The sequence below is a fragment of the Homo sapiens genome, chromosome 6 (assembly GCF_000001405.40).
Source record: "Homo sapiens chromosome 6, GRCh38.p14 Primary Assembly".
NCBI lineage: Eukaryota > Metazoa > Chordata > Mammalia > Primates > Hominidae > Homo > Homo sapiens.
This window is the reverse complement of record NC_000006.12, coordinates 101817173-101829192: the sequence shown is the minus strand read 5'-3', so window position 1 is coordinate 101829192 and position 12020 is coordinate 101817173. Positions and strand designations below refer to the sequence as shown.

Below are 12020 nucleotides of genomic sequence, written 5' to 3'. Positions count from 1 at the left end.
ATGCATTTCTGCATCTATTCAGATGACCATATGTTTTTTTCTTAATTCTGTTTATGTGGTGAATCACATTTATTTATTTGCATATGTTGAACCATCCTTGCATTCCAGGAATAAAGCCTACTTGATCATGTTGAACTAATGTTTTCATGTGCTGCTGGATTTTGTTTGGTTACATTTTGTTGAGAATTTTTGTGTCTATGTTCATCAAGAATATTGGCCTATAGTTTTCTTCTTTGTTGTATCTTTGCCAGATTTTGGTATCAGGATTATGCTGCTTTATAGAATGAGTTAGGGAAGAGTCCTTCCACCTCAAATTTTTGGAATAATCTCAGTAGGATCTGCACCAGCTCTTCTTTGTGCATATAATAGAATTCAGTTGTGAGTCCATCTGGTCCACAGCTTTTTGGGTTGATCAGCAATAATGATTCAATTCCTTTGCTCATTATTAGTCTGTTCAGGATTTCTGTTTTGTCCTGGTTCAATCTTGGAAGGTTGTGTGTTTCTAGATATTTATTCAGTTTCTCTGGATTTTCTAGTTTGTGTCCATAGTGATGTTCATAGTAGTCTCAGGATCTTTTGTATTTCTGTGGAATCAGTTGTAATATCACATATGTTGTGTTCAGTTGTGCTTAGTTGGATCTTCTCTCTTTTCATTCTTTGTTAATCTAGCTAGCAGTATATCAATGTTGTTATCCTTTCGAAGACCCATCTTTTCATTTCATCGATCCTTTATATGTTTTCTGGGTCTCCATTTAGTTTTGCTCTGATTATAGTTATTTCTTTTTTACGCTAGCTCTGGATTTAGTTTGTTCTTGTTTTTCTAGTTCCTTTAGGTTGAGATTAGGTTGTTAATTTGAGATCTTTCTATCTTCTTGATGTAGGCATTTAGCACCATAAACTTTCTTCTTATCACTGCTTTTCACACATTCCAGAGGTTTTGGTATACTGTGTGTCTATTTTCCGATTTCAAAGATTTCTTTAAATTTCTCCCTTAATTTCATTGTTTGCACAAAAATCATTCAAGAGCAGGTTGTTTAGTTTCTATGTATTTGTGTGGTTTTGAGAGTTCCTCTTGGTGTTGCTTTCTATTTTTATTCTACTGTGCTCTGAGAAGATGCTTGGTGTGATTTCAGTTTTTTAAAACTTATTGAGACTTGCTTTATGATGAAGTTTGTGGTCAATCTTAGAGTATGTTATGTGTGCAGATGAGAAGAATGTATATTCTGTGGGTTTTGGATGGAAGATTCTGTAGCTGCCTATTAGGTCCAATTGGTCAAGTGCCAAATTTAAGTGCAGAATTTCTTTGTTTTCTGCCTCAATCGTCTCTCTAATTCTGTCAGTGGTGTGTTGAAGTCCTTCACTACTATCGTGTAGCTGTTAAAGTCTTTTCTTGGGTCTAGAAGTAAGGTTTTATGAACGTGGGAGCTCCAATATTGAATACATATGCATTTAGAGTAGTAAATCTTCTTGTTGAATTTAACTCTTTATCATTATGTAATGTCATTCTTTGTACTTTTGTACTATTGTTGCTTTGAAGTCTATTTTATCTTTTTATCTAATACAAAAATAGCAATCCCTGTCCTTTTTTTGTTTTCCACCTGTGTGACAGATCTTTCTCCATCCTTTTATTTTGAGTCTATGGGTGTCATTACATGTGAAATGGTTCTTCTGAAGATAGCAGAAAGACTGATATTGGTTTTTTTTTGTTTTGTTTTGTTTTTTTAATCCAATGTGGGGCTATGTTTTAAAGCAAAAACAAATAGTATGCCAGGCTTATAGAGCAATAACCCTAATAAGTTTTTTAATAAACCATGCTTATTATTTACTTTTTTAAACAAAATTCAAGTACATTCTGAGGCAATCTAGAAAAATTCTTTTATTTTCTTCTTTTCTACTTTCTTCCTCAAGTCTATTAAGCAAAGGCAATCTTTGCCAGGAGTGATTTTCATACTTACACACACATAAATCTTTCATAAACTATGCAAGCATAATCATATACGTAGTTTCTGCAAACTGTATTTACCTTATTTCAGAAACATAACTTTAGAGAATTTCAAAATGTACAAAAATCTAAGTCTTGTTGGCCATAATTATAATTCTAAGAAAAGTTTCTGTTTTTATCCTGTAACTATAGAAAATCTACTGGGATTTGGGAAGATGAGAATAACTTCTTTCTCCCTGAAAAGTAATATTTACTTACTGGAAATTGTAGTGAGTCTTATGGAAATAATGATTGTGTAATAGTTGAACTCGACTTTCAAGAAAAAAAAGGTGAGTTTTGCTAGTTGTGCTGTTCACCAATGTTTCAAGAAAGGAATTTACTGATGTCAGAGTAATATATCTTAAGGGAGGATTCGGCATAGTGACTATCATTCATGCTTGTATTAAGAAAAAACGTCATTTTTTTTAAATGGTATGCTATTAAATTCCTTCAGTTGGTTGTTACTATCTTTCTGCTGATAATTTCTATTTTGGTCATTAAAATTTTGGGTAGTTTAATTTACAAGGGAAAGATAGTAAGAAAGAAAAAGCTGAAGTTTGAATCAATCAAATGTACTATTTCATTGTGGTTCCAGTAAAAGGTTTGATGGGAAAGGAGACTGTACCTATTAGCTAATCTCCAAACAGCATTTCATCTCTGAATCTAATTTATTATCCCCTTACATAAATAATCAAGATTTGACTGCTCAAAAGTCATTGCCAACATCTCCATACATACTTGAGTATCATTCATCATCTCCTTTCCCACCATCCCCATCACACGCTGTGGCAGTGCTATCATCCCTGCTTCTAGGCTTTTAACCTTTACGTCTTCATCCACATTCCTCAATAGATTTTTGCCCTATCTAATGCATTCCCAAGAAACCTTATACTTAGTTTTTAATGTTGCCATCTCTTTCCTCTTTCCTATAAGTACAGTGCCTCTCAAAGCAGACTCTAAAAATAATCACCCATTCAGTAGTACCCATGAACAAATCATATCTCATTTGTTCAAAATGTTCTTGATTACTTCTCTGTTGAACTTTCTTAGAATAATCTACTCTTTCTCCTTTAGGTACTTGAATTGTGAGTATGGGTTTTAAAGGGACTGAGGAATCTAAGAAAACACACCTCTGGCTGGGGTGAATAGAAAGGTACTGGAATCATAAATAGAGATTGAAAATATAGGCAAAATCAGCATTGTGAGTCCTGAATCAAAGAAGGAGGTTTGATGCATGTGGAGCATGATACTGTATATCTAAGTGGATATATGTCCAGTAAGTAATTGCAAATTTACATTTGAATCTCAGTTCAAGGTTGTAGCTAAAATTCAGATTGTACAAGTGTATATGGTCCTATTGTGATAACATCTTCCTAAAAAAATGAGAATGTTAAGGCAAAAATATTTCATTTTCACATATTTTGCTAGTGGCTGAGCTGAATTCAAAATTCAGATTTTTCTATTCATTCTTTTATACAAAACTTAATATACTGATCATAATAAAATAGTCTTCAACCATTTTAGTATTGACAATTATAAAATTGTCAATTTTATAGTATGGACAATAATGTTTGGAATAAAAAATAACATAAAGGCAAAACTGCTTATAAGTCTTCATCATGGTAGTTAATTTAAGTCAGATTTAATAAAGGACAAAGGAAAAAGAATGTGTATATGAAGTAAAAAATGAGGTTCTGGCACTTAGAAGGCTTTAGAAATTAAGACCCTAGGATTTTCAAAATTATACCTAATTTTACATCAAAACTCATGACTTTCTTTATTTCTTCTTTCTCTACCACCATCAATAGTTTTATATTTGACTAGCTTTGTGGAAGTCTCTGAAAATATGAGAAATAAAATACATTTGAAATAAAACACACTGAGTTATCAGAGCAAGAATGAAAGAGAGAAATGTAGTACCAGCACAATCTCTGAAATAGAAGAAAAAATATGGTGAGAAAAAGTGTGGTTGTCTGAACAAGCTGATTGTAGGAATGGGGTTGGAGAAGACTTTAGTTTGAATGAGTCACTCTTATCTCGCATTTTAATATGTGACTGAGATTGCTGAGAAGGAAAATATTTTTCTTCTTTGTGAAGTTGCAGTGTCTGGGTTTCCAAGCCCAAATGCTATGCAACTCTCTAAGAACTTCATGCTTGACAGTCCTTCTACCACAATGGAAAGACGAGAATCAGAGGGAAAACTTATTGCAGTGGCAGATTTGAAGCCTTAGAAAAAAACTGCTTTTGTTGATATTATAGAAGAAGCTACAGAACCACTTAGGGGATAATTCGGTCACTTCTCTCTTTTGTACTGTGTACTTTTCAATTGTCATTGGAAATTTGCTTCCCAGTAAGCCTTCCGTATCTGTGGGCTGTGACACAAAAGCTTTACAAGCTTAAGCAAGTAAAGTGGATACTGTAATACCTTCCACAAAGTACTGGGAAAATAAAAAATACGACTAAGTTTTCAGGAGCAAGTACATTTGTTAAATTCACTGAGCCACTGGGGAGAAGGAATCTCCTTGACAATAAATGCTTTTCTGAAAAAGTAACCAAATGCATAGTCATTTGTATGCTAAAGTGTTACTAGTCAACAAAAGAAGGAACATGTGCAGTAGCATTTAAATGCTACTAATCTTTTGATGGACAAAAATTAATTATTATACAGGCATAGCACAATGAGAAACACTCAACATAGTCAGACAGGAGTGAAAAATGTCTATCGAAAACTAAGAATTTAGAGGAAAAAGTAGGCATTTCCTATATTAACTTGAATAATTGGAGACCATTATTCTAAGTGAAGTAACTCAGGAATAGAAAACCAAACACTGTATGTTGTCACTCATAAATGGGAGCTAAGCTATGAAGATGCAAAGACATAAGAATGATACAATGGAATTTGGGAACTTAGGGGAAAGGGCAAGAGGGGTGTGAGGGATAAAAGACTGCAAAATTGGGTACGGTATATACTGCTTGGGTGATGAGTGCACCAAAATCTCACAAATCACCACTAAAGAGTTAACTCATGGCCGGGCATGGTGGCTCACACCTGTAATCCCAGCACTTCGGGAGGCCGAGGCTGGAAGATCACCACAAGTCAGGAGTTCAAGACCAGCCTGACCAACATGGTCACCGTCTCTACAAAAATACAACACCATCTCCACAAAAATACAAAAAATTAGCCAGGCATGGTGGCAGTGCTTGTAATCCCAGCTACTCAGGAGGCTGAGGCAGGAGAATCACTTGAACATGGGAGGCGGAGGTTGCAGTGAGCAGAGATCATGCTACTGCACTGCAGCCTGGGCGACAGAGCGAGACTCCATCAAAAAAAAAAACAAAAAAAAAAAAACAGAACTTACTCATGTAAACAAACATCACCTGTTCCCCCGAAAACCCATAGAAATAAACAAACAAATAAATAAAATAATACTTAGTCCCCTGATACTTCCCATAGCTAACAGCAGCAGCAACAAGACCAGGTTACAAACTGAAGGTTTAGCACGTTATACTTTAAAATCTCTCTACTACTTGCTCAAAAATTGTATTTTTGTTATTATTTTTGACAATTAGGAACTCATATTTTAACAACCTCTATGCAATAAATAAAATCATCATAAATGAAAATATAATTTGAAAGATAATAGTTCTAGTTCCATTAATAACGATAAACACAAAAAAACAGAGAATTTTAACAACAACCGAACTTGAAATTCAAAGATGAAAGAGGCAATATGGAAAATCACAAACAATAAAATTAGGGCATAAATAGAGCTGAGCTTTAGGCATAGACCTGTAGTTGACGATCCATAAATCTCCAATTTTATATCATAAATCTTAATTCAAAAATAAAAAAATATATAAAATAAATGTTTAATGCTCTCTATGTAAATTTACTGCATAATACAACTATGTACTGTACCCGTACAATGTACTGGGTCTAGGTCATGTTATTAAAGTGGAGTAAAAACATGTGTAAACATTGCAATTCTTAAGAGAAAAAATGAAGTGAGCTCCTATACCGTCTTGATTGCCCAGGAGAATCTGAGATTATAGTTTAAAGAGAGTAAAAGAAAACTAAGTACTAAATGAGGGGAGTGCAGAGACTAGAAACCCAACATATTCACGCAAGAGTAGCCTAAATAATGTTCTCCGTAGAGAAAAAATGTTTAGATATTTGGAGGCACATCTCTAAGGGCATCACAAAGTTCTAGCATATGTGGGACTTCTGGATGAGAAACATTGCTTTAGGTAAATAATTATCAATCAAGATGCTATTTTGATCATAAACTATAAGTGTTAGCCTTTTCTATATTTGACCACTAGAATTTTCATTTTATAGTATCAGCTGCTCAGGTTGGATAAACAGATTGGTTGAAACCCTACAACTACTCCACCTTCTAGTTGTATGGCCATGAGTAAAATACTTAGGCTGTATAAACATCAGCTTTCTAACCTAAAAAAAAGAAAAAATATATATATAATACTATAAATAAGTAATGGTGCTAATAGTGTCTACTTCAAAAGTTTATTATTACAAGTAAACGAATAAATCCATGGATAGTGTTTCAAACTATGTCTGGGACACAGTAGGCATGTAATACATGTCTGCTATGATTTTTTGTAGTGGACCATATTCATACATTTATACTGGAAGCAGCTGAGAAGCAGATCGAGGCATTAGCACCAGTCATAATGGTCTTTCAATTCCACAAAATTTTCCAAGCCCTTTCCCGCTTTAGGATGCTTGAATATGCTGTTCTCTTCGCCTAGAATACTCCCTTGCCCTTTCTTCACCTTGCTAATTCCTCCTCAAACTCTCAGTCTCAGCTGTCTATTCTTCTACTGTGAGTCCTAACCTGACTTGCCCTTCCACTCCTGACATCTAGTATAACTCAAAATTACCCTGTATATTAAGGCACCGTATCATTTACTTTTCTTTTATATCTTAATTATAAGTTGTATGTGTTTGTGTGTGTGTGTGTGTGTGTGTGTGTGTGTGTGTGTAAAACTCTCCATATGAATTCCTGCCATTTTCTAAGTTCAATAAGGGAAGCGATCATGTCTATTTTGTTAGCTTTAAATACAGTGCTTAGTATATCATTATTATTCAATACATATTCATCAAATAAAATAATGAATAAAATTAAATAAGTGAATGAATAGAATTCATGAGAAATAGAGCTGATTATAATTAGCTTGTGGATAGTGCTGAATTCCAGAATACCTCATCATTTTTTAAAGACACGTAATAAAAATGTTGAACAAGAAGCACAAGTTAACATCTCCTTGTATCTCCTTCCCATGATAGGGATATGGGAGAAATGTCATTATTCATAATGTAGCCAGAATTTCCTCTAAGATATTTCAAGAGAAAAGGGCAAAATAATCATAACATCAATCAAAAAATCATAATTTCTCCAAAAATACAAATAGAATACCAGTAAATTACATCAAAAATAAGCTTACATAAATAAGGTACATAATCTCTTCAAATCTGTTCTTTACTTGACTATGGATATGTTGAAGTCAGAGTATTCAGAAAAAGGAATTTTTTTTTAACTAAAAGGTATAAAAATAAAGTGCCTTATTTTATCCTTTTAGGAAATATTAGGATCTTTTAGAAACAAGTAGTTGGCATACTCTAAAATATAAATAACCTGTTTATTAAAATGAGAGCTTAGTGCATCTTCCATAGTTGATCTTACATCTTATTCATATGGAGTAATAATCTGAGCTATAGTTCTTAATCATGGTTATAGATTTGTGTTACCTGTGAAAATTAAAAAAATCAAAGTGTCCAAGATTCAAAGTCCAGAAATACTGTTTCAAATGGTATGGGGTACGTTTTAGGCATTAGTGTATTTATTAAAGCTTTAGAGCTGACTCTGATATGAAGATAAAATTAGATACCACTTCTTCATAGAGAGATATAAACTTGATTATGATTGAGAAGCAATATCTGAACACTTCTCAAAAAATAACACTGAATACTGAAGCAAGATTGAGAAATTATATGGGTACTCTTAATCACCTGCTTTATTTGTACTAGATAATTTTAATAACCTGCACACTTGAAAAATATTTAAATATAGTCATTTGAAAGTTCTGTACTTCGTCTAATTTCCCATTTAATTAAATATCATTTATTTAATTTAATTTGACAAATATTTATTGAGCTCTTGCTATACCCAAGGCACTTTTCTCCGACATTGAGAAATCAGAAAGTGTAAAATTTGATTATAGAGCTTATGTCAAGTGGAAACACAAACATACATAGTTTTTTAATTAAAAAAATGATAATGCCATGATGGAGTATTCTGGTACATAAAGTATACAAACTTCCTCCTTCTCCCCAAGACACAGGCAACTTAATGGAGCTGTCAAAGATTTTCATGAAGTGGGTAGCATTTGAGATGGATACAAGAAAATGAATAGGATTTTTACTGCAGAACATAAAGAAGAATTGAGCAGGCTGGGTGCAGTGGCTCACGCCTATAATCCGAACACTTTGGGAGGCTGAGGCAGGCGGATCACGAGGTCAAGAGATCGAGACCATCCTGGCCAATATGGTGAAACCCCATCTCTACTAAAAATACAAAAATTAGCTAGGAGTGGTAGCGCGCCTGTAGTCCCAGCTACTCAGGAAGCTGAGGCAGGAGAATCGTTTGAACCTGGGAGGTGGAGTTTGCAGTGAGCCGAGATCATGAGTCTGCACTCCAGACTGGCAACAGAGCAAGACTCCATCGAAGAAGAAGGAGGAGGAGAAGAAGAAGAATTGAGCGAAGATTTGGAGCCATAAAATAAGTGATGTTTTGAGGAATTTGGCTAGATCAGGAAGATGATAGAAAGGAGTGTAGGGGCCAGATTACTGAAGGCTACAGATGTTTTCTACCCAGAATTATTGATCCTATGATCATTGCAGAGGTACATATGGTATAGAAACAGAAGACATAATCTAATTCTATTCCTCCAAGGAATGTTTAGTGATATTTGGGAAAATAATGCACACATGAAATAAGAATAGCATAATATGAATATTAAGTCATATATTACTGATGAATACTATATCTCAGAAATTGAGATAAGCATATTGCAGAGCAAGGGAAGAGCATTCACAAAACTATGTAGCAGGCTAACTGGTTATCCCAATTCAATTAAAACACACGGTTCCTGAAAGAAAATAATGGGAAGTGAAGATAAAAAGGTGAGAGAGAGTAAGACCATAGAGGACCCTATATATAAAAATTTAAATTTGTTGGCTTTTTAATGGTCAATAAGGATTCTCTAACAATCTGTATAACAAAGAAGTAGAGAAATGACAGGATTAGATTGTCGTTGTTGTGTTGTTGTTGTTGATGTTGTCCTTGTTCAAGCAGTCACCATTTGCCTGGAACAGAATTAGACTTTTATGGTGGGACTTGGGTGCACTGCAAAGGAGGAAAGCCACAGGCAGAAGAAATAGTTACGTGGCTACTGCAATAGTCCCAACAGGAAGTAATGAGATCCAGAACATAGTGGCATGTAGATCAGAAAGAGGATGTGTAATTGTACTGTGAGAACATTTTGACTGAAGAAGAGGGCTAGGTTGGTGGGTATGGGAGTTATCTTTGAAAAGAAAGGAAGATAGAAAATTAAGTAAAAGGGTGTCTTAGACGTTTGGATGTGACAGAGAGAGCGAGTATCCACTGAGGTCCTTAGCCACAGATTGGTTAAAAACTTTATGACTTTCATCACTGTCACTTCATGATTATCAGCTTTGCTTCATTATCAAAAGGCTTTAACCCAAGCTACTTCATTTTGACATGCCTACAGATCTGACATCCCTCGTTGCTACTAAAGGGGCAAGAATATATATTCCTCATAGCTTGATTTCCCACCATAAATCAAATTTAGAAATTATATAAATGCTAAATGTTCATGGTAGTTTGTTCTAGATATTACTCTCAATTTTTACTGACTACCTGAGGATTAATAAGAATGGTCATTGATAAGCTTATTTGGTAGGTGAAAAGTACTGACTAAATAATGTAAGAGCTATTTGCTTATCCTAAATTAAAATTCCCTTTTGCAAATGACATAGTGGGCATAAGCGAACATTACTGTGTGATCTAATTAAAAGATATAAATAAATATAAGAGGGGTAAAAACATCTAGCTTAACAATATTAAGTCTGTCAGTGCTGAAAATATTTCTGGCTTTAAAAAGCACTTGCCATTTGGTTACATTAGGGAAATTCATAAAGTAAAATTAATTTTCCAAGATGAAAACAATAAAATTGAAAATAAAGTTAAAATATAATTATAATGAGAAAAAATTCTGAAAAATAAGTGCCATGCCCTATGAAATATATTTGCGGAAAATAAAAGCAGAAGCAAAGTTCACTTTTGGCTCATCACTTAACTATATTTATAGAGCTGCACGTATTTTTCAAGTCTTGACATTGACAATTCCTCAATAGTAACTAATTTTGGAAAAATGAAAAGATTTCCAGTAATACATTAAGCTGTATTATTAGTCAACATAAACAGCCCAAACGTTAATACAATTTAGATCATTTAAGACTAACAAAACTGTGACTAAATTAACATTGACTCATCTGTTGTACAGTAATTGCTAAATAACTGTAAAATACATTCTGTTCATTGCTGTTCCAATTATAATGTCCTTTTCTATGCACTTCTGTGTTCATCTACATTTAACTAAGAATAATGGAAAAGCAAATACTTACCAAAATGGTGGTAACAATCAAAGAACGATTGGATAAGGAATCTGTGATGTTCGCTGGCTTTCCCTTTTGACTTTCTGTCATATTCAGGCCACTGGCTGGATCCCACGTTCCAATCTATAAAATAGCATATGTACTTTGTAAATTGTCCATCAGGCACGTGGTAGAGAGTACTGCAAAAGAAAGTTAAGATTGCTAACACTTATTATTCACCTTTGCTGCATTGTCTGCTGCCGTTAAAGTAAAGGCAGCTTGTTTAAAGCATGATTCACGGCTCTGTGAAGTGTGTTCAGTGAAGTGTAACATTAAAGAACAAAACGATCCACTGAACTTCTCCAGTCAGTGTGGGAGCTTAATTTTCCATTCAAGCTTTCATTCACCAAGATAAACCACATTTGATGATACCTTGATAGCTGGCTAGAAACTCATTAATGGCATACATCTTTTACTGTAATGGATCTATTTCATCCTCTCATAAAGATAACATGCCATATTATACAGACAAAGCTAAAAGACAGCGCAAAATCTAGGGATCCAAGATAAATTAATAGGTAAAGGTAGGCTTAAGGGAAGCATTGAATAGTATTTTGCACTACCCCTGGTGGGATAAGACCATGCCCAGAATTATCTTTGGAGATTTAAAAACGCATCTTTGCACCTTTTAAAGTGCTCCCAAGAAAGGAGAAGACAGTAAAATCTGATCTGAATAACACATTCCAATACTTTCTTCTGTGATCCATTTAATATGAATTTTAATTTAACTAATATCTTCTGATAGATTAGGTCATATACTCACAGTGTTTAGACATTTTGTATTCACTGAACACAGACTATGAGATAATGCAGATAAGCCTCCAGAAGAAACACGTAAGCACAGGATGTCACAAAATGCATTCATTAGATGGTTTATTGACACTTATACCATTGCACTATCATATAACAATGATCAGCAGCAAGGAAGAGCAGAGGCAAAAGAAGATGTGAAATCAGTTCTTTTTCCTCACTGTCTCATACCCAGGAGTAATCAATAACAAAATTTGTCTTCCATACTCTCCTAGACAAGTATCCAACTTATTTTTCTCAAAGAAAAGGAAAACTATCAAATTATCTTTAAAATAAGTCTTTGTATATAAATTAAGTCTTTTTAAAATGGCATTGATTTAGCAGGTATTATTTACTCTGTTCTAACTAAATATGCTAACAAAGGTCCCATCAGCATAATCTCTTTGCCATATTTCCTCATATGGAGTTAATTTTCCTCTCACCATTAAATTCTGTATATTCCTGATGTTGGTGTTAGGAAGGAAAAAGTCA

At 34.0% G+C, this 12020-nt stretch overlaps 1 protein-coding gene across 8 annotated transcripts in view; it reads right to left on the bottom strand.

Moving 5' to 3' along the window:
- The window catches only part of GRIK2 (glutamate ionotropic receptor kainate type subunit 2), a 676376-nt gene that overhangs the window by 240891 nt on the left and 423465 nt on the right, over positions 1-12020 (bottom strand). For all 8 annotated transcript variants that reach the window (XM_047418681.1, NM_021956.5, XM_047418682.1 and 5 more), the window contains one exon: positions 10710-10823. In XM_047418681.1, coding sequence (XP_047274637.1) covers positions 10710-10823 — 114 coding nt within the window. The remainder of the gene's footprint in view (positions 1-10709; positions 10824-12020) is intronic.